Source organism: Homo sapiens, chromosome 6 (assembly GCF_000001405.40).
Source record: "Homo sapiens chromosome 6, GRCh38.p14 Primary Assembly".
Lineage (NCBI taxonomy): Eukaryota > Metazoa > Chordata > Mammalia > Primates > Hominidae > Homo > Homo sapiens.
The window spans coordinates 18,155,739-18,177,250 of record NC_000006.12 but is presented as its reverse complement, the minus strand read 5'-3'; the positions used below and the strand labels follow the sequence as shown (position 1 = coordinate 18,177,250).

The following is a 21,512-nucleotide window of genomic DNA, read 5'->3' as shown; positions in this document are numbered from 1 at the left end:
GCACATAATCTAGAAAACCTAGAAGACATGGACAAATTCCTGGAAAAATACAACCCTCCTAGCTTAAATCAGGAAGGATTAGATACCCTGAACAGGCCAATAACAAGTAGTGAGATTGAAATGGTAATTAAAAGATTACCAACAAAAAAAGTCCAGGACCAGATGGATTCACAGCAGAATTCTACCAGACATTTGAAGAATTGGTACCAATCCTTTTGACACTATTCCACAAGATAAAGAGGAACCCTCCCTAATTCATTTTATGAAGCCAGCATCACCCTAATACCAAAACCAGGAAAGGACATAACCAAAAACGAAAACTACAGACCAATATTCCTGATGAACATAGACGCTAACAAAATACTAGCTAATGTAGATGCTTAACAAAATACTAGCTAACTGAATCCAACAACATATCAAAAAGATAATCCACCATGATCAAGTGGGTTTCATACCAGGGATGTAGGGATGGTTTAACATATGCAAATCAATAAATGTGATATACCACATAAACAGAATTAAAAACAAAAATCACATGATCATCTCAATAGATGCAGAAAAAGCACTGGACAAAATCCAGCAACGCTTTATGATTAAAACTCTCAGCAAAATCGGCATACAAGGGACATACCTCAATGTAATAAAAGCCATCTATGACAAACCCACAGACAACATAATACTGAATGGGGAAGAGTTGAAAGCATTCCCTCTGAGACCTGGAACAAAACAAGGATGCCCAATCTCACCACTCCTCTTCAACATAGTACTAGAAGTCCTAGCCAGAGCAATCAGACAAGAGAAAGAGATAAAGGGCATCCAAATCGGTAAAGAGGAAGTCAAACTGTCACTGTTTGCTGATGATATGATCGTTTACCCCGAAAATCCTAAGGACTCTTCCAGAAGGCTCCTAGAACTGATAAAAGAAGTTAGCAAAGTTTCCAGATACAAGATTAATGTACACAGATCAGTAGCTCTTCTATACACCAACAGCGACCAAGCAGAGAGTCAAATCAAGAACTCAACCCCTTTACCAATAGCTGCAAAATAAAATAAAATACTTAGGAATAAACCTAACCAAGGAGTCTAAAGACCTCTACAAGGAAAACTACAAAACACTGCTGGAAGAAATCATAGACAACACAAACAAATGGATGCTCACGGATGGGTAGAATCAATGTTGTGAAAATGACCATATTGCCAAAAGCAATCTACAAGTTAAAAGCAATCCCCATCAAAATACTACTATCATTCATCACATAATTAGAAAAAATTCTAAAACTCATATGGAACCAAAAAAGAGCCCGCATAGCCAAAGCAAGACAAAGCAAAAGAATAAATCTGGAGGCATCACACTACCTGATTTCAAACTATACTATAAGGCCATAGTCACCAAAACAGCATGGTACTGGTATAAAAATAGGCACATAGACCAATGAAACAGAATAGAGAACCCAGAAATAAACCCAAATACTTAGAGCCAACTGATCTTCAACAAAGCAAACAAAAACATAAAGTGGGGAAAGGACACTCTTTACAACAAATGGTGCTGGGATAATTGGCTAGCCACATTTAGGGGAGGAAAACTGGATCCTCATATCTCACACAAAAATCAACTCAAGATGGATTAAGGACAAATCTAGGACCTGAAACTACAAAAATTCTAGAAGAAATACTAGAAAAACCTTTCTAGACACTTGCTTAGGCAAGGATTTCATGACCAAGAACCCAAATCCAAATACAATAAAAACAAAGATAAATAACTGGGACTTTAAAGAGCTTTTGCAAGGCAAAAGGAACAATCAGCAGAGTAAACAGACAACCCAGAGAGTGGGAGAAAATCTTCACAACCTATACATCTGACAAAGGACTACTATCCAGAATCTACAATGAACTCAAACAAATCATTAAGAGAAAAACAACCCCATCAAAAAGTGGGCTAAGGATATGAATAGACAATTCTCAAAGTAGATATATAAATGGCCAACAAACATATGAAAAAATGCTCAACATCACTAACGATTGGGGAAACGCAAGTCGAAACCACAATGTGATACCACCTTACTCCTGCAAGAATGGCCATAATAAAAATATCAAACCACAGTAGATGTTGGTGCGGATGCAGTGAACAGGGAACATTTCTATACTGCTGGTGGGAATGTAAACTAGTACAGCCACTATGGAAAACAGTGTGGAGATTCCTTAAAGAACTAAATGCAGAACTACCATTTGATCCAGCAATTCCACTACTGGGTATCCAGAGGAAAAGAAGTCATTATACAAAAAACATACTTCCATATGCATGTTTATAGCAGCACAGTTCACAATTGCAAAATTGTGGAACCCACCCAAATGCCCACCAATCAACAAGTGGATAAAGAAACTGCAGTGTGTGCGTATGTGTACATACATACATACACATATATATATGATGGACTACTACTCAGCCATGAAAAGGAATGAATTAACGGCATTTGCAGCAACCTGGATGAGATAGGAGACTATTATTCTAAGTGAAGTAACTCAGGAATGGAAAACCAAACACCATATGTTCTCACTGATATGTGGAAGCTAAGCTATGAGGACACAAAGGCATATGAATGACACAATGAACTTTGGGGACTTGGGGGGAAAAGTAGAAGGGGGGCTAGGGACAAACGGCTACAAACAGGGTGCAGTGTATACTGCTCGGGTGATGGGTGCACCAAATTTCACAAATCACCGCTAAAGAACTTATATAACCAAACACCACCTGTACCCCAATAACCTACAGAAAAATAAAAATAAATAAAAATAAATACGTATCAGCCAGATTTGGCCCATGAGCCATCATTTACCAACCCCTTAGAGGACTGAAAAATGTAAAGATGTCACTTCTCCAAATGACCCATAGATTCAATGCATTCCAATAAAAAACCCAGAGGCTTTTTATTGGATACTAAGAAGTTGATATTTACATGGAAATATAAGGGTCCTAGAATAGCCAAAACAATCTTGAAAACAAAAAAAAAGTTAGAAGAATGTATACTACCTGATTTTAAGACTTACTATACAGATACAATAATCATGACAGCAGAGCATTGGGTAAAAAACAGATTAATGCAACAGGGTCCAGAAACAGACTTACACACATACGGCCAATTGATTTTTTTATAATGGTGCTAAGATAGGGCCGGGCGCAGTGGCTCACGCCTGTAATCCCAACACTTTGGGAGGCCAAGGCAGGTGGATCACGAGGTCAGGAGTCCGAGACCAGCCTGGCCAACATGGTGAAACCCTCTCTTTACTAATAATACAAAAATTAGCCAGGTGTGGTGGTGTGTGCCTGTAGTCCCAGCTACTTGGGAGGCTGAGGCAGGAGAATCGCTTGAACCCGGGAGGCGGAGGTTGCAGTGAGCCGAGATCGAGCCACTGCACTCCAGCCTGGGCAACAGAGCAAGACTCCATCTAAAATAAAATAAAATAAAATAAAGCAATGGTGCTAAGATAATACAAAGTGAAAAATACAGTCTTTTTAGCAAACGGTAATGAACAACTAAATATCTGTATGGAAAAAATTGAATGTTGGCCTACCTCTCACATCAAAAACAAAAAAAAACTTGAGCTAGTGATCTAAAAGTAAAGATGAAAACTATAAGGCACCTCAAAGAAATCACAGAGTATGTTTACAAGGTGAAAGGTAACCAATGATTTCTCAGAAAAGACACAAAAAGTTCTAAGCATAAATGAAAAAGTGAATAAACTACACTTCAAAATGGAAAATTCCTCATAAAAGACCTATTCAGAAAATGAAAAGGCTTAACACAAACTGGGGGGAAAAAATATTCAAAATACATGGTTATATCCAGATTACATAAAGAACTACAAATCAATAAAACCCAATTTAAAAAAAACTTGATCAGACATTTTCCAAAGAGAAATGCATGGCCAATAAGCATATGAAAATATACTCAAGATCACCAGTTAGTAGGGAAATGCAAACTAACCCTACAATGATACTAGTACATACCCATTAGAATGGCTATAATTAAATTTTTTAAAAAAGAATAACACTACAAAATGTTGTAGTATGGTACAACCATGGAAAGACATTTGGTAGTTTTGCAAACATTAAACATAAATTTATGATATAACTCACTGATTACACTTTTTTTTTTTTTTTTGAGATGGAGTTTCACTCTTGTTGCCCAGGCTGGAGTGCAATGGCATGATCTCAGCTCACTGCAACCTCCACCTCCCGGGTTCAAGTGATTCTCCTACCTTAGCCTCCCGAGTAGCTGAGATTACAAGCACATGCCACCACACTGGGCTAATTTTTATATTTTTACTAGAGACAGGGTTTCAACATGTTGGCCAGGCTGGTCTTGAACTCCTGACCTCGGGTGATCCGCCCATCTCGGCCTCCCAAAGTGCTGGGATTACAGGTGTGAGCCACCGCGCCCAACCACTCCTAATATGTTTTTATTCATAAGAAACGAATAGGCCAGGCACAGAAAATAAACTATATAGTTTATTATAAATATAATGAAATAGAATATTATGTTTATATTTTGAATCCCAGGCTTTTACTGAATTCCAGGCGTTATAAAAATATGATGTTTATATTTTGAATCCCAGGTTGAATTTCTCTTATTTGAAATGCTTGGGACCAGAAGTGTTTTGGATTTTGGAATGTTTGCAACATACTTACTGGTTGGGCATCCCTAATCTGAAAATCTAAAATGCTCCAGTGAACATTTCCTTTGAGCAGAACCTCTGAGCATCATCTCAGAGCTCAAAAAGTTTCAGATTTTGGAACATTTCAGATTTTCAGACTAGGGTGCTCAACCTGCACCACAGCCACTCAATTGTATGCTTTAAAAGGGTGAATTTTATAATATGTGAATTTTATCTCAATTTCTAGAAACAAAGTATTTTACCTCTGAGATTAAAAGGATTCCTAATATTCTTTAATGTACTGCAGGTACCAGTGGCATTTGTGTAGACTAACACCCTTAACGCACTAAAGCAATAATAATAGGTTTTTAAACAGTAAGTAATTGCCAAATTTCAAAAAAGGCACATTATAACAACGATGGCCGATTCCTAATTGCCAAGCATATCAATTAATCTTTTCTTCCTCACTAATAGGATCCGGCTTTGTTTAGTGTTGCAACATCCTCAGTCGTAAAATATTTTCTTCCTCTGTCCTCACTATAGTTAGGGAAGCTGCATTTATGGTGTCAACATCATTATATAAAAACGAAACAAACCAAAACTAGCAAAAAAATTAAAACCAGAGTAGCTGCATGATCCTGTTCTCGCCAATGAGATATAAATAGAAATCTACTGAAGGAACTTCCAGGAAAGCTCCTGTTTCCCCCAGGAAAAGAGGGACAGGCTCAGCTGATACTCCCCTCTTGCCCTTTGACCTTTCCCCCTTTTCTGCTTAGGATTTGGACACATGACTGGTGGTATAGCAACTACCTTGTGGCCTTCAGGATGAAGTTAGACTACAGGTGGCTGGAGTGGAAGCTACAAAGAGATTTCCTTGGGCAACAAAACCAACCCTGGACAGCCTATGTCTTAACTGCTTACCTATGTCTTAACTGCTTATAATGACGGAAAAGTAAAATCCTTAATTGGTTAAGCCATTATAGTTGGGGTTCTATTACATGCATGCAAATACAACCTTGACAGAATGATCAACACAATACATGAAAAACATATACACCATTACTATTTACTGACTACATTAATATATCAATTAACTCAAAAGCAAAAAGAGAACATACCTTAATAGCAGTATTTGGTTTCATACCGCATCGATAAGTCTTGGCTATCTGTGGAGTAAGCTGGATTTCCTTGGTAAGCTGCCTCCATTTTCTACACTCAGGTTTTGTACACTGAACCTAGATGGGAAGTATCAAGTCAAGATGAACAAGTGAGCTAATCTTCAGTTACCATTTCTATCCTCCACCACTTGGTCATCTTCTCCAACCTGTTAGCAATCCTAAGTATTTTTTCTCCTCCTTGCATTACCATCATCCATATAATTCACTTTCACCCCATTAGGATAATTTCTGATTTAATACTTCCTCAGGGTGAGGAAAGTGCCAAGGGGATCTGAGTTTTGTTGTCAGAAAGGTTTTCTAGGCCAGGTGCAGTGGCTCACGCCTGTAATCCCAGCACTTTGGGAGGCCAAGGCGGGCGGATCACGAGGTCAGGAAATCCAGACCATCCTGGCTAACACGGTGAAACCCCGTCTCTACTAAAAATACAAAAAGTTAGCCAGGCGTGGTGGCGGGCGCCTGTAGTCCCAGCTACTCAGGAGGCTGAGGCAGGAGAATGGCATGAACCCGGGAGGCGAAGCTTGCAGTGAGCCGAGATCGCACCACTACACTCCAGCCTGGGCAACGGAGCAAGACTCCGTCTCAAAAAAAAGGAAAAAAAAAAGAGAAAGGTTTTCCAGCTCTAACCTAAAGAAACAATCAGGGCCAGGCATGGTGGCTCACACCTGTAATCTCAGCACTTTAGGAGGCTGAGGCAGGCAGACTGCTTGAGCCCAGGAGTTCCAGACTAGCCTGGGCAACATAGTGACATCCTGTCTCTACAAAAAATACAAAAGCAGACAGGTGCGGTGGTGCATGCCTGTAGTCCCAGCTACTCAGGAGGCTGAGGTGAGAGGATGGCTTGAGCCTGGGGAGGTCAAGGCTGCAGTGAGCTGAGATTATACCACTGCACTCCAGCCCGGGAAACAGACTGAGACCCTGTCTAAAAAAAAAAAATCAGCGTAAAATAAACTGAAATTTACTTTCAGTTAGTCAAAAAGCATGCATACTAAATGCAATGTGGTATGCTGCGTTGGATCCTAGAACAGTAAAAGAACATTAGTGAAGAAACTGATGAAATCCAAATAAAGTCTACAGTTATTAGTACTATGCCAAAGTTAATTTCTTACTTTGACAAATAATCATGGTATGTAAGATGACAACATTAAGGGAAGCTGCATGAAGGATATATGGAAACTCTCTGTACTATCTTAGCAACTCAGTAAATTTAAAATGATTCCAGACTTGGTGCAGTGTCTCACGCCTGCACTTTGGGAGGCTGAGGCAGGTGAATCACCTGAGGTCAGGAGCTCAAGACCAGCCTGGCCAACATGGTGAAACCCCATCTCTACTAAAAATATAAAAAAATTAGCTGGGCGTGGGGGTGCATGCCTGTAATCGCAGCTACTCAGGAGGCTGAGGCAGGAGAATCGCTTGAACTGGGAGGTGGAGGTTGCAGTGAGCTGAGATCGTACCAATGCACCCCAGCCTGGGCAACAGAGCAAGACTCTGTCTCAAAAAAATAAATAAATAAATAATTTTAAAAAGATGATTCCAAAATAAAGTTTATTTTTTAAAAGCATGCAGATATCCATATGCAAAAGAATGAAGTTAGACACCCTACTTTACACATATACAAATATTAATTCAAAATAGATAAAATAATACCTAAACGTAAGCACTCAAACAACAGAACTCTTAGAAAAGAAAGTAAACCTTTATGACCTTGAATTTGGCAACGAATTATAAGCGGTAACACCAAAAGCAACAAAAGAAAAAAACAGATAAATTGAACTTCCTCAAAATTAAAAACCTTTGGGCATCAATGGGCTCTACCAAAGGAAGACAACAACCTATAGGAAAAAATACTTGCAAATCATAGATCTAATAAGGGTTTAGTATCCAAAATATATAAAAAGGCCAGGCACGGTGGCTCACGCCTATAATCCCAGAACTTTGGGAAGCTGAGGCAGGCAGATGACCTGAGGTCAGCAGTTTGAGACCTGCCTGGCCAACATGGTGAAACCCCATCTCTACTAAAATTAGCCAGGTGTGGTGGCGGGTGCCTGTAATCCCAGCTACTTGGGAGGCTGAGGCAGAAGAATCACCTGAACCCAGAAGGCAAAGGTTGCAGTGAGCCAGAGATGGCACCATTGCACTGCAGCCTGGGTGACAAGAGCGAAACTCCATCTCAAAAAAAAAAAAAAAATTTATATATATATAATTCTTACAACTCAACTACAAAAAGACAACTTTAAAAAAGGCAAAGGAAGACTGGGCGAGGTGGCTCACATCTGTAATCCCAGCACTTTGGGACGCCGAGGCGAGCAGATCACCTGACATCAGGAGTTCGAGACCAGCCTGGCCAACATGATGAAACTCCGTCTCTACTAAAAATACAAAAATTAGCCCAGGGTGGTGGCACACACCTATAATCCCAGCTGCTCAGGTGGCAGAGGCAGGAGAATGGCTTGAACCCAGAAGGCAGAGGTTGCAGCGAGCCAAGATCGCACCACTGCACTCCAGCCTGGGTGACAGAGCAAGACTCCATCTCAAAGACGACAAAACAAAACAAAAATGGGCAAAGGATGTTAACAGATATTTCTCCAAAGATATACAAATGGACAACAAGCATACGAAAGGTTGCATTAGTCATTAGGGAAATGCAAATTAAAACCACCATGAGATACCACTTCAAACCCGTGGAAAAATCAGAACCCTCATATGCTACAGACAGGAATGAAAAATGGTACAGGAACTATGGAAAAGAGTTTGAGGTCCCATATAATTACCAAATATGATCTAGCAATTATATTTCTAGGTACATACCCAAGAATTGCAAGCAGGTAGTCAAACAAATACTTCTACAAGAATGTTCACTGCAGCACTATTCACAATTGCTAAACGCTTGAAATGATCTAGATGTCCATCAATAGATGAATGCTTAAAAAAACTGTGGCATATCCATTCAATGGAGTATTATTCACCCATAAAAAAGAATGAAGTACTGACACATCCTACAATGGATATGAATCTCAAAAACATTACATTAGGTGAAAAAGGTCAGATACAAAAGTTTACATGTTGCACGATTCCATTCATATGAAACATCCAAAATAGATAAATCCATAAACACAGAAAGCAGATTAGCGGTTACCAGGAACTGGGGGTAGCAAGAATTAGGGCTTCCCTTGTGCGTGATGAAAATACTTTGGAATTAGATAGGGGTGGTAATTGCATAACATTGTGAATATACTAAGTGCCACTGAACTGCACAATTTAAAATGGTTAATTTTATGTTATACGAATTTTACTTCAATGAAAAAATCTTTAAGCGTGCACAAAGCTCAGCATTACTTATAATATTTTTAAAATTAGCAAATTGGCCAGGTACAGTGGCTCACACCTGTAATCCTAACACTTTGAGAGGCTGAAGTGGGAGGATTGCTTGAGTCCAGTATTTGAGACCAGCCTGGGCAAGATATCGAGTCCTGTCTCTATAAAGAATTAACAAATTAGCTGGACATGGTGGTGCACTCTATAGTTCCAGCTGCTCTGCCGGCTGAGGTGGGAGGATCACTTGAGCCTGGGAGACCGAGGCTGCAGTGAGTCATAATCCCACAACTGCACTCTAGCCTGAACGACAGAGCAAGGCCCCATCTTAAAAAAAAATTGGGCATTGTGGCTCATGTCTGTAATCCCAGCACTGTGGGAGGCTGAGGCAGGTGGATCACTTGAGCCTAGGAATTTAAGACCAGCCTGGGCAACATGGTGAAACCCCATCTCTACAAAAAATACAAAAGTCAGCTGGGCGTGGTAGCATGTGCGGAGAGTCCCAGCTATTAGGGAGGCTGAGGTGGGAGAATCGCTTGAGCCCGGGAGGTGGAGGTTGTAGTGAGCTAAGATTGTGCCACTGCACTACAGCCTGGGCAACAGAGTGAGACCCTGTCTCAGAAAAAAAAAATAGCAAATCATTTATTAAATGGTGGTATATTTCAACAATATATGCAATAATGAAAATATATTTTCAAAGAATGACTAAATGAAAAAAGAATATGAGGTCAATTTAATTTTTTTTTTCTTTTTTTGAGACAGAGTCCCACTCTGTCACCAGGCTGGAGTGCAGTGGCACGATCTCAGCTCATTGCAACCTCCGCTTCCTGGGTTCAAGCGATTCTCCTGCCTCAGCCTCCCAAGTAGCTGGGACAACAGGCGCGCGCCACCACGCCCGGCTAATTTTTGTATTTTTTTAGTAGAGACGGGGTTTCCCCATGTTGGCCAGGATGGTCTTGATTTCTAGACCTTGTGATCTGCCCACCTCAGCCTCCCAAAGTGCTAGGATGACAGGTGTGAGCCACAGCCCTGGCCCAAATTAATTTTTAAAAAGCTAAACATTACAAAAATCGTATCTGAAGCCTGATTTTAAACCTAATCAGTATATGTATATAAAGCATGAAATTGTGTTTAAACAGACAAAAATATGAAAAGAAAAAAAGGATCAAAAAGCTATGTACCAAGCTCAGCAATGACTATCACCAGCTGGTGGTGAGCCTTTAGTTTTTTCTTTTTTAAAACCATTTTTTTTTTTTTGAGACAGCCTCTCACTCTGTCATCCAGGCTGGAGTGTAGTGGTGTAATCATAGCTCACTACAGCCTTGAACTCCTGAGCTCAAGCAATTCCCCAACCTCAACCTGATGAGTAGATGGGACTACAGACACCTGCCACCATTCTTGCCTACTTAAAAAAAAAATTTTTTTTTGTAAAGATGGGGTCTTACTATGAGATAGGGTCTCACTTTGCCCAGGCTGGGCGCAAAGCAGTCTTCCCACCTCAGCCTACCAAAGGGCTAGGATTACAAGTATGAGCCACCAAACCCAGCCTAGTTTCCTCTTTTATACTATGTTGAAATATCTCAGCTTTCTATAAAAATAAAAAATATTTGCTTTAATAGTCATAGAAGGAACAATAAATGTAATAGGAGATTTCCTAAACAGCATTTTCATCCATGCCTCTTGCATTTGGCTCCACAAATACTTCACAGACAGAGAGCATCACTCTCCTTACCCAGTAGGGGAGTTGCTGGTCTGCCATGAAAGCTTTGGGACTAGGTTCGGTTTTGCCATTGCTAGTCCATATTTTTTTCCATGTAGTATATTTGTCATATCCATCCTTATGGCTGAAAAACAAGAAAAATTAATATATCGATTAATATATCGATTGCTATAAGCAATCAGGTTTTTCAAAACAGGAGGCAGGTTAGTAAATCTTACGTAACAAACATAACTAGCCTTGTTATAAAAGTAGAGAAAGTTATTATGGCACCCATAAAACAGGCTGTCAGAAGGGGTATATTCTTGTCAGTTTTAGTATCTAAAACTAAGAAAGGCATAGTGTTATTTGAAAGAGAAATTAAATTTTTTTCTTTTTTTTCCCCTTGATACAGGGTGTTGCTATGTTGCTCAGGCTGGAGTACAGTGACTGTTCACAGCTGCAATCATGAATCATGGTGTGCTGCAACCTCGAACTCCCAAGCTCAAGCGATCCTTCTGCCTCAGGCTCCCAAGTAGCTGGAACCAGTTCCGAATATTTTTATTTTTTTATTATTTTTTTAAATTTCTTTTGAGATGGAGTCTCACTCTGTCACCCAGGCTGCAGCGCAATGGCACAATCTTGGCTCACTGCAACCTCCACCTCCTGGGTTCAAGGGATTCTTATGCCTCAACCTCCAAATAGCTGGGATTAAAGGCACCTGCCACCATGCCTGGCTAACTTTTGTATTTTTAGTAGAGATGGGGTTTCGTCATGTTGGCCAGGCTGGTCCCGAACTCCTAACCTCAAGAGATCTGCCCACCTCAACCTTCCAAAGTGCTGGGATTATAGGCGTGAGCCACTGCACCTAGCCTAGAATATTTTTTTAATGTATGTAGTAAATCCTAGGGCAGCCATTAAAAATTACATCAGTAGATGAAATACAATACAATCATAAAAATGCTCAATTAAAATCAGAGAAGGCGGCGGGGTACGGTGGCTCACGCCTGTAATCCCAGCACTTTGGGAGGCCAAGGCAGGCAGATCACCAGGTCAGGAGATCGAGACCATCCTGGCTAACACAGTGAAACCCCGTCTCTACTAAAAATACAAAAAATTAGCCAGGTGTGGTAGCGGGTGCCTGTAGTCCCAGCTACTTGGGAGGCTGAGGCAGAATGGTGTGAACTTGGGAGGCAGAGCTTGCAGTGAGCCGAGATTACGCCACTGCACTCCAGCCTGGGGGACAGAGTAAGATTCTGTCTCAAAAAAAAAAAAAAAAAAAAAAATCAGAGAAGGCAGAGGAAGGGGAAAAAGAATAAAATGCACCATATGGAAAACAGCTAGCAAGATATTTTAATCCAGTTATATCAACAATCACTTAAAACATGAATAGCATAAACATACAGATTAAAAGAGATTGTCAGTGGGATTACAAAAAAACTATAAGTGTAAATGAGAAATCTCCTCTAGGCCGGGCATGGAGCCTCACACCTGTAATCCCAGCACTTTGGGAGGACAAGGTGGGAGGATCACATGAGGCCAGGAGTTTGAGACCAGCCTGGCCAACATGGGGAAACCCAGCCTCTACTAAAAATACAAAAATTAGCTGGGCATGGTGGCGCACACCTGTAATCCCAGCTACTCAGGAGGCTGAGGCACGAGAATCACTTGAACCCAGGAGGCGGAAGTTGCAGTGAGCCAAGATCACGCCACTGCACTCCAGAGCAAGACCCTGTCTCAAAAGAAAAGAAAAGAAACCTACTCTAAATACAAAGACTCAGAAAGGTAAAAAGTAAAGAAACAAAGAAAGGTGTATCATGCTAACATTAAAAAAGCTGAGGCAGCCATATTTATGTGAATAATGAATATTATCAGGGATAAGACAAGGGATATTACACAAAGGGGTCAATTTTGAGAGAATCCACAACAATGTTAGATGTACAATGTTAACAACAGAGCTTAAAAATACATGACGGCCAGGCGTGGTGGCTCGAGCTACCACCAAAGTGCTATAATCCCAGCACTTTGGGAGGCTGAGGCAGGCAGATCACCCAAGGTCAGGAATTCAAGGCCAGCCATACCAACATGATGAAGTCCTGTCTCTATTAACAATACAAAAATCAGCCAGGTGCGGTAGTGCACGCCTGTAATCCCAGCTACTTGGAAGGCTAAGGCAGAAGAATGGCTTGAACTCAGGAGGTGGAAGTTACAGTGAGTCCAGATCGCACCACTGCACTCCAGCCTGGGCAACAGAGCGAGACTCCATCTCAAGAAAAAAAATACATGAGGTAAAAATATATAGAACTGAAAGGAAAAATAGACATATCTGCATTATAGTTGGAAATGTTAAGAGACAATTATAATTGCAGACTTTAAGACACTTTTCTTAGTAACTGAAAGATCAGGTAGGAGTAAATCAGAAAGATGTATGTATGTGTGTGTATATATATATATATATGACCTGAACTGCACTATCAATCAACTTGGTCTAGTTGACACTGATAGACCCACCTGACAATAGCAAAATACACATTTTTCTCCACTGCATGCAGGACATTTACCAAGATACACTACATTACGGGCCATAAAGCAAACTTTGACAAATTTAAAACGTAGAAATCATACAAAGTATATTCTCAGACCATTGCTGAACTAAACTAGAAATCAGTAACAGAAAAATTGCTGGAGGTGTCCCAAATATTTGTAAATTAAACAATTTACTTCTAAATAATCTATAGATCAAAAAGGAAAACTCAATGGAAATTTAAAAATATTTTGAACTAAATTAAAATAAAAGTTGTCAAAATTTGTGAAATATCACAACCTACTTGGACAGAAATTTATGGCATTTAAAAACGCATTTATTGGAAAAGAAGAAAGATCTAAAAATAAATAATTGAAGCTACTAATTTATGAAACTAGAGAAATAAAAAATTAAACCTAAAGCAAACACAAGTAAAAAATAAAAATTAGAGCACAAATGAAATCGAAAACAATAAAATAGAATCAACATCTCCTAGATGTTCCAGAACTTTGACTCAAGAAATAACTGTTTCGCTGGGTGCAGTGGCTCACGCCTGTAATCCCAGCACTTTGGGAGGCCAAGGCAGGCAGATCTTTTGAGCCCAGGAGTTTGAGACCAGCCTGGACAACATGGCGAGACCCCATCTCTATTAAGGAACCCAGAAGTTGGAGGTTGCAGTAAGCTGAAATTATGTCTCTACACTCCAGCCTAGGCAAGACTCTTGCCTCAAAAAAAAAAAAAAAAGAAATGGCAGATATTTTTTGATCCCTGAGTGTGCACACACACAAACATGCACACAAACTACAACATCAAAGTTCTCGTCCAAGTTACAGTCATCACAGGCATGGCTGAAAGAGCTGAATAATTCAGTAAGCCTCGAGACTAAGCTTTAATCAGCTGACCACACGCACTGCCCCTGCCACGGTCCCCTTCTCCAGGGAAACCTCACACAATTAGTGAACATACCTTCTGTAGTAATGGTCAAAGCATTCATTACAGAAATGTTCCCCACAGGAGAGATGATACCATCGGGAGGTGTAGCCATTTTTGGCACATCTGAAAATAGTGAAAAACATATAGCTTTGGTAATGAATAAACATTTCTCCTCCCATTTTTTAAAAAACATCTTGCAAGCACCATCTATGAACCCATTTTGCATTATCTCCACTTAGCCCCTTAAGGACAGGGGAAACAGGAATGGATTACTAGTAGATAATAACACACAGGAAGGATGCAGGGACTTAGGCCATGGGACCTAACCTAGCTGGCTGCCTGGGGCTTAGCAGTCTTAAGAAGACTCCTTGGGGCAATGATAGGGTTTTATGACACAAAAGGACAGATGCCACTGTGCTTGCTGCAGGCTGCATATGTGGACATGAGAGAATAACGTGGGGCCCAGTACTGAACAGCGAGGGAATCTGGTCAGCTGAAATCTGAACATCAAGCAGGCAATTTGGCAAAGATAACTTGTCAAACAGTTGATAATATAGCAAGAGAATGAAAAATCATGCCACTATGAACACGATCACCACGTCTTTGTGTTTATTTTTAATATTTTTTTATTTATTTGAGATGGAGTCTTGCTCTGTCACTCAGGCTGGAGTACAGTGGCACGATCTCAGGCTCATTGCAACCTCTGCCTCCTGGGTTCAAGCGATTCTCATGCCTCAGCCTCCTGAGTGGCTGGGATTACAGGCTTCTGCCACCGTGCCCAGCTAATTTGTGTATTTTTAGTAGAGACAGGGTTTCACCATGTTGGCCAGGCTGGTCTGGAACTCCTGACCTCAACTGATCCGCCCATCTTGGTCTCTCAAAGTGCTGGGATTACAGGCGCATGCCACCATGCCTGGCCCTCTTTGTGTTTAAAAACAAATAGGATTTGTTTTCTCGATTTTATTGAACCTTAACCCTTAATTGAATATTTTCCTCTGGAAGTAAAAAAGAAAAAAAAAAAGAAGATCATACTTGTGTCACCCCACAATAAAAATGGCAAGGCTGCAGTTAGCTGTAGTTTCTATGAGACCTGTATGTGCGTATGGGAAGAGGTGGCATGTTATATGAGAGAGAAAAACACAACGAAAAGTAAACAAACACTGGTGTCTACAGAAAGCTCATGAGTTCTCTCTACTGTCTCACCACGACATACACCATCCCACCCTCAACCCTTGGAGAGGTAGATATGGTTGGCTGGATTTGAGGACACTGTGTTGCAAAATTGACATGGGTGTGGCCTCTCCCAGTAGGCTAGGGATAAGTAGGGAGGGCCTTGAGGAGGGTGTGGTGTGTACAGAATGTCTGGGCAATGTCTCTATTATTAGATTAGATGACTTATAGTATCTGTATCTATCTTTAGGAAAACTATCTACAAGGATGATGTTTCCACAAAGAACTTCTCACAAGCAGAAATGGGAGGCCAAGACACACATCTAAACAGACCTTTCAGAAGCACTTGCAAAGCACACAGGACATGTTGCCGTACAGCCTGCCTTTTCACATTTCCTGTACTTCTTCTCTGAGCCACCATCTTCATCCTCATCTGTTGTCTCTGTTGCTTTCTTCTTCGCCTAAGGGAGTCACAGCTGATGTTAAAATTTCACTGATGATGGCAAAATGACTAAGGATGAAGGTTCACTACTGAAATCACAGCTGAGTTCTAAACATGAAGGTCAAAAACATCATGGCAGTAGGTTAGGGATGACAATACAGCAATTTCCTGGTGACTGCATTGTGCAAGTAATTTACTAACTTGCTAGAGATATAGAAATAGCATTTTAACAACAGATGTCTAAGCAAAGAACTAAATTCATATGAGTCTTTCTTAGAAAAAAGTGACATCAGCTGGGTGTGGTGGCTCATGCCTGTAATCCCCAGCACTTTGGGTGGCTGAGGTGGAAGGATCACTTAAGCTCAGGAGTCCAAGACCAGCCTGGGCAACATACCGAGACCTCCTCTCTACTAAAAATAAAAAAAAATCAACCAGGCATTGTGGCACACACGATTGTGTCACTGTACTCCAGCCTGGGGGATAGAGGAGATTGTCTGGAAAAAAAAAAAAAAAAAAAGTGACATGAGTCAAAAAAAAAAAAGTCATTCCCCAAATTGAGATTTGTTTTTTCTTTATTTAGAGCAGTTATACCCTCTATTTTTTTTTTTGAGACAGAGTCTCACTCTGTCGCCCAGGCTGCAATGCAGTGGCGCCATCTCTGCTCACTGCAAGCTCCACCTCCCAGGTTCACGCCATTCTCCTGCCTCAGCCTCCCGAGTAGCTGAGACTACAGGCGCCCGCCACCACACCCAGCTAATTTTTTGCATATTTAGTAGAGACGGGGTTTCACCATGTTAGCCAGAATGGTCTGGATCTCCTGACCTTGTGATCCACCGGCCTCGGACTCCCAAAGTGCTGGGATTGCAGGTGGTGTAAGCCACCGTGCCTGGCCCCCTCTATTTTAAATAAAAAGCTAGAAAAATTATAGAGAAAGAATTACATTGTTCAATTTTTTCTTTTAAAAGAATAAAAGCCCTACCCAAAAAGCCCTATACATAACCCTCCAATAGCATTCAACCAATTCCAAGCTGAAGTCCAAATTCCTATGAATGACATCCAAGCCAGGCATGATCTGGCCCCAGCCTCACACTCTGGAAGCAACCACACAGCCGTGAATCTCTGAACATCCTATGCTGATTCACACTCTACGCCTTTATACTTACAGTTCCCTCTGCCAGATAATGCTTCTATTTTGTATATTCTATCATGTTATCACACTGTGTTATGACCGTACTGAGAATTTCTCCCCTAGAATACAAGCAACTTGAGGGCTGGAGTAATCTTTTCAACTCTAATTCTCCAGTCCCAATCAGTAATTCTGCATGCTCAAAAAAGGCTTGTTGAATGAATAAATGAACACTACCTGCCTACCGGAGCTCCTCAAAGGAAGGCTATCCGGAGAATGATCAAAAGATGCTTTTTTCTTTGTCCTCCCCCGTGGAGTTGCCATTACATTAAATAATCTGCAAAAGAAAAATCAGACCATTAAATATTAGCATCTGCAAATATTTTTAACAGTCTGGAGCAAGTTATTATACACTTTGGTAGGTAAGAATGTATGTCAGATTGCCTAAATACAAAGCTACAGTTTTCTTTCTTTTCTTTTGAGACATTCTTGCCATGTTGCCCAGGCTAGCCTGGAACTCCTGGGCTCAAGCGATTCTCCCACCTCAGCTCCAAGTAGTTGGGAATACAGGTGCACGTCACCACACCACCTGGCTCAAGCCACCATTTTCAAGTTCTTAACCTCTCTAAGCCTCAGTGTTCTCACACATAAAATGGGCACCATAAGCATTTACTATAGCACTGGCATGAAGTTTAAACAAGATAACCTATTTAAAGCACCAAAACTGGCATATCGTAAGTACTCAATAAACATTACCTATTAGTAGTTATGCACATTAAAAGATACAAAATGAGAAACATGCCACATGAATGACCAATAAACAAACCACACTATGTTTATAAAATTCAATGAGGAAAACCACCTAGTTTTGCCTATGTTCCTCTCCATTTTACTGTGTCTTCTTAGCAGTTCCTGCACTTTGATCTCTTATTACACTTTAAAAAGAAAACTCATGGCTGGGCACAGTGGTTCATGCTTGTAATCCCAGCACTTTGCAAGGCCCAGGCAGGCGGATCATGAGGTCAGGAGTTCGAGACCAGTCTGACCAACATTGTGAAACCCCGTCTGTACTAAAAATACAAAAATTAGCCAGGCATGGAGGCGCGTGCCTGTAATTCCAGCTACTCAGGAGGCTGGGGCAGGAGAATCGCCTGAACCAGGGAGGCGGAGGTTGCAGTGAGCCGAGATTGTGCTACTGCACTCCAGCCTGGGCAACAGAGCAAGACTCCATCTCAAAAAAAATAAAAGAAAACTCATTCATTCCTTTTCAGTACAACTCAACAAATAAATATCAAGAAAACCATCTAGTCACTACTGAATATACAGATCTAAATTAGATAGAAGCACTGGTATCTTCTACTGGAAAAAATTTCCCAAACTAGTCCAATAACAGCATGGTTAAACATATATTAAGAACCAAAGTCTACAAGAGAAATAATGTGTAGCAGCTATGAAAGATTAAGAGCTAACAGAATTTTTTTCAATTAGATTAAGGAATGAAAAATGCTTAGCATAAGTACTCAGTAATATACAGAATCTATAATTATCATTCATCTCCTTCCTTGATCTATTGGATTTAACTACACATACACACAGAAAATGATAAATGAAAAATAAATAGGACATACCTATGGATAAAGAATTTGAAAGTGGAAAAGTGGAACCATAAAATACAAATTCCAGATATATAATCTTAGTCTTGGAGAAAAGCTTTAAGGAGCTTGTAATCCTATTGTTTCATATTTGTGAGCTGTATTAACATTCATAAGAGTACTTTTCATGGATTATTAACATCCTATGGAAAAACTCATTTTGCCATCTACATTGACTTTGACACATCCTAACATCAATGTTACGGATGATTTTCCTTTGACTTTTTTTTTTTTTTTTTTTTTTGTGAAGGAGTCTCACTCTATCGCCCGGCCTCCTTTGACTTAATCTTCACTTTCTCAGAAACAATAAATATTATGTTAGCTGTGAACACATAATCCCTACATATTCTGAAATGCACTATAGTTCTTTAAGCATTAAATAAACTGCCATTTAGTTCTACAACATCTATCATACTGTTGGAGAAAATGCTAATGATGTTCAAAGTACTATCCACCGGCCAGCGCGGTGGCTCACGCCTGTAATCCCAGCACTTTGGGAGGCTGAGGTGGGCGGATCACGACATCAGGAGATCGAGACCATCCTGGCTAACACGGTGAAACCCCATCTCTACTAAAAATACAAAAAAATTAGCCGGGGGTGGTGGCGGGCACCTGTAGTCCCAGCTATTCGGGAGGCTGAGGCAGGAGAATGGCATGAACCCCGCAGGCGGAGCTTGCAGTGAGCCGAGATCACACCACTGCACTCCAGCCTCGGCAACAGAGTGAGACTCCATCTCAAAAAAAAAAAAAAAAAAAAAAGGACTATCTACCTATAATTGTTATACCCAAAGAAGGCTTTTTGGACTTTATTTTCAAAAGGCTGTCCACTCTAACAAATCTCTTCATAGACACATATAAATATTAATTATTATATACATAAATATACAAATCTCTTCATTTATATATAAAATATACCTGACATTATTCATAACATGAACCACAAATATATGTAAATATATAGTATTTGTAAATGTATAGTATATGTAAGTATTATAGCAAAAATATCTGAAGTCAAATGTGTGGTTTAGGAACATAAATGAATCAGCCTAGGTTCATGCAACATTTGACCCTGTCACCTGGGAAGGTATGCATTCTCAAAAGAAAGTATAGTTTCCTGAAATTTCATCAAACATTTTAATCTAACTGAATACTAGAAAATAGGTACTTAATGCAACAAAGAATTCAAGAAATGGTTAACAAGGAAATGAAAACATGAGCTATAAAAGCCATTATTAAATCTTATCGAGGGTTTTTATGATAGCATATTTTCAACTTTATACAATTGAGGGTTATATGAATCCATTCTCAGAACTTTTGGCACTTGATGTAATTTATATATCTCCACTTGCTGGGTCCTTAGGTCTTAAAATGAAGAAAAAATTTTTAGTATACTAAAATGTCTTCCTTCTTGATTTTTCAAATTAATAAACACACCTAAATATAACCAATTGGTTTCATGCTCAACATTATACATATATTTCTAATTTTTAATTCAAGCATTTAAAATTTGGCTTTGGTTTTCTTTTAATGTGATAAAAAAGTGGGATTTTTTGGTAAATATATAAGTGGATATATCAATATGTAGATTTCATTATAATAATCCCTAGGTTTTTCTGAAGCAGCTTATTCAAAAAGATTTTTTCTTTTTTTTGAGACGGAGTCTTCCTCCGTGGCTCAGGCTGGAGTACAGTGGTGCGATCTCGGCTCACTACAACATCCACCTCCTGGGTTCAAGCGATTCTTCTGCCTCAGCCTCCCGAGTAGCTGGGATTACAGGTGTGTGCCACCACGTCCGGCTAATTTTTGTATTTTTAGTAGAGACCAGGTTTCACCACCTTGGCCAGGCTGGTCTTGAAGTACTCCTGACCTCAAGTGATCGCCCACCTCGGCCTCCCAATATTGAATAATTCAATATTGAATTATTCAATATTCAACATGCAGTTCAATGATTCAATATTAAATCCCCAATTGCCTAGATATCTTTTGTTGATTCTCCCAGCAAGGCAAATAATTATTGATGGTAATTTTCTCATGTACCTCCTGAAGAAGCCTTCTCTCCCACTCGCCTTTCTGCCACTAAAATAGATTTAAAAACACAAAACAAAACTGGTCAAAGCCTTGAGTTATGTGTGTATACGTGGTGTGGGGGATTCCCCAACTGGAGTGGACTGGGGAGTCCTGCAGGCTTACCCAAGGGAAGACTGGACTTCTATGTGGCTGGTTTCCACATCACTGAACCCCAACTTTCTACAGCTGGGTCGGCCTCTTCCTTCCTCTTTCACCTGTCAGCTGCCCGGCCGTTGACTAACAGCTACCCTAATCGGGCCACCCCTCCTCCAGGTCTCCAATCCCAGAGGAGTTACCCCAGCAACCTGGCAATGCTCATCAAGTCTCAACGCGTGGTGGCTGTGCCAGAGAATTACTACAACACCTGCAAGGCTGTGCGGGCTCCTGGCCGCACCCTATCGGCCGGGAAGAACAAGCGAGGGAGTTCCTACTCCAGGACCGTGGGGTTCTCCCGCGGCTCTGACAGTCCCCAGGAGGGAGCCCCAAACTCCCGGTGCCAGCTGCAGCCGCCTCGCTTTCCGAGAAGCTTTCGGAAGCTTTTCGAAGTCGGAGAAGCAACTGCCCCGGGGCTCACCTTTGCGCTGAAGAGGTGCCGGGAGTCTCGGGGAAAAGGCACCGCTGTACAGAAAGGAAACATTGTAGGGGGGTTAGCCGACCGGCAACATCGCGACGAACCCGGCGACCCCACGCCCCAACACCCTAGCCCGGGAATTCCCCCTTCTTCAGACAGATACCCACCCCGCACCCTCTTTTAATCCGGGG

At 40.7% G+C, this 21,512-nt stretch overlaps 1 protein-coding gene across 29 annotated transcripts in view, besides 2 other annotated features; it reads right to left on the bottom strand.

Annotated features, from left to right (window-relative positions):
- The window catches only part of KDM1B (lysine demethylase 1B), a 68,433-nt gene that overhangs the window by 46,604 nt on the left and 317 nt on the right, over positions 1-21,512 (bottom strand). For 13 of the 29 annotated variants that reach the window (NM_001439117.1, NM_001439118.1, XM_017010445.3 and 10 more), the window contains exons 2-7: positions 21,325-21,368; positions 17,269-17,368; positions 15,797-15,924; positions 14,327-14,416; positions 10,873-10,984; positions 5,772-5,888 (exon numbers count right to left, since the gene is read on the bottom strand). In NM_001439117.1, coding sequence (NP_001426046.1) covers positions 5,772-5,888; positions 10,873-10,984; positions 14,327-14,416; positions 15,797-15,924; positions 17,269-17,355 — 534 coding nt within the window. In that variant the 5' untranslated portion in view covers positions 17,356-17,368; positions 21,325-21,368. The remainder of the gene's footprint in view (positions 1-5,771; positions 5,889-10,872; positions 10,985-14,326; positions 14,417-15,796; positions 15,925-17,268; positions 17,369-21,324; positions 21,369-21,512) is intronic. The other 16 variants (XM_017010443.3, XM_047418354.1, XM_047418355.1 and 13 more) reach the window with 3 other exon arrangements.
- Positions 776-976: a silencer, noted in NCBI's record as "peak5710 fragment used in MPRA reporter construct". NCBI's record gives its function as "represses an SCP1 promoter by STARR-seq MPRAs in K562 erythroleukemia cells {active_cell/tissue: K562}" and the evidence as "EXISTENCE:reporter gene assay evidence [ECO:0000049][PMID:32103011]".
- Positions 20,889-21,128: an enhancer, noted in NCBI's record as "active region_24117". NCBI's record gives its function as "activates an Ori minimal core promoter by ATAC-STARR-seq in GM12878 lymphoblastoid cells {active_cell/tissue: GM12878}" and the evidence as "EXISTENCE:reporter gene assay evidence [ECO:0000049][PMID:35858748]".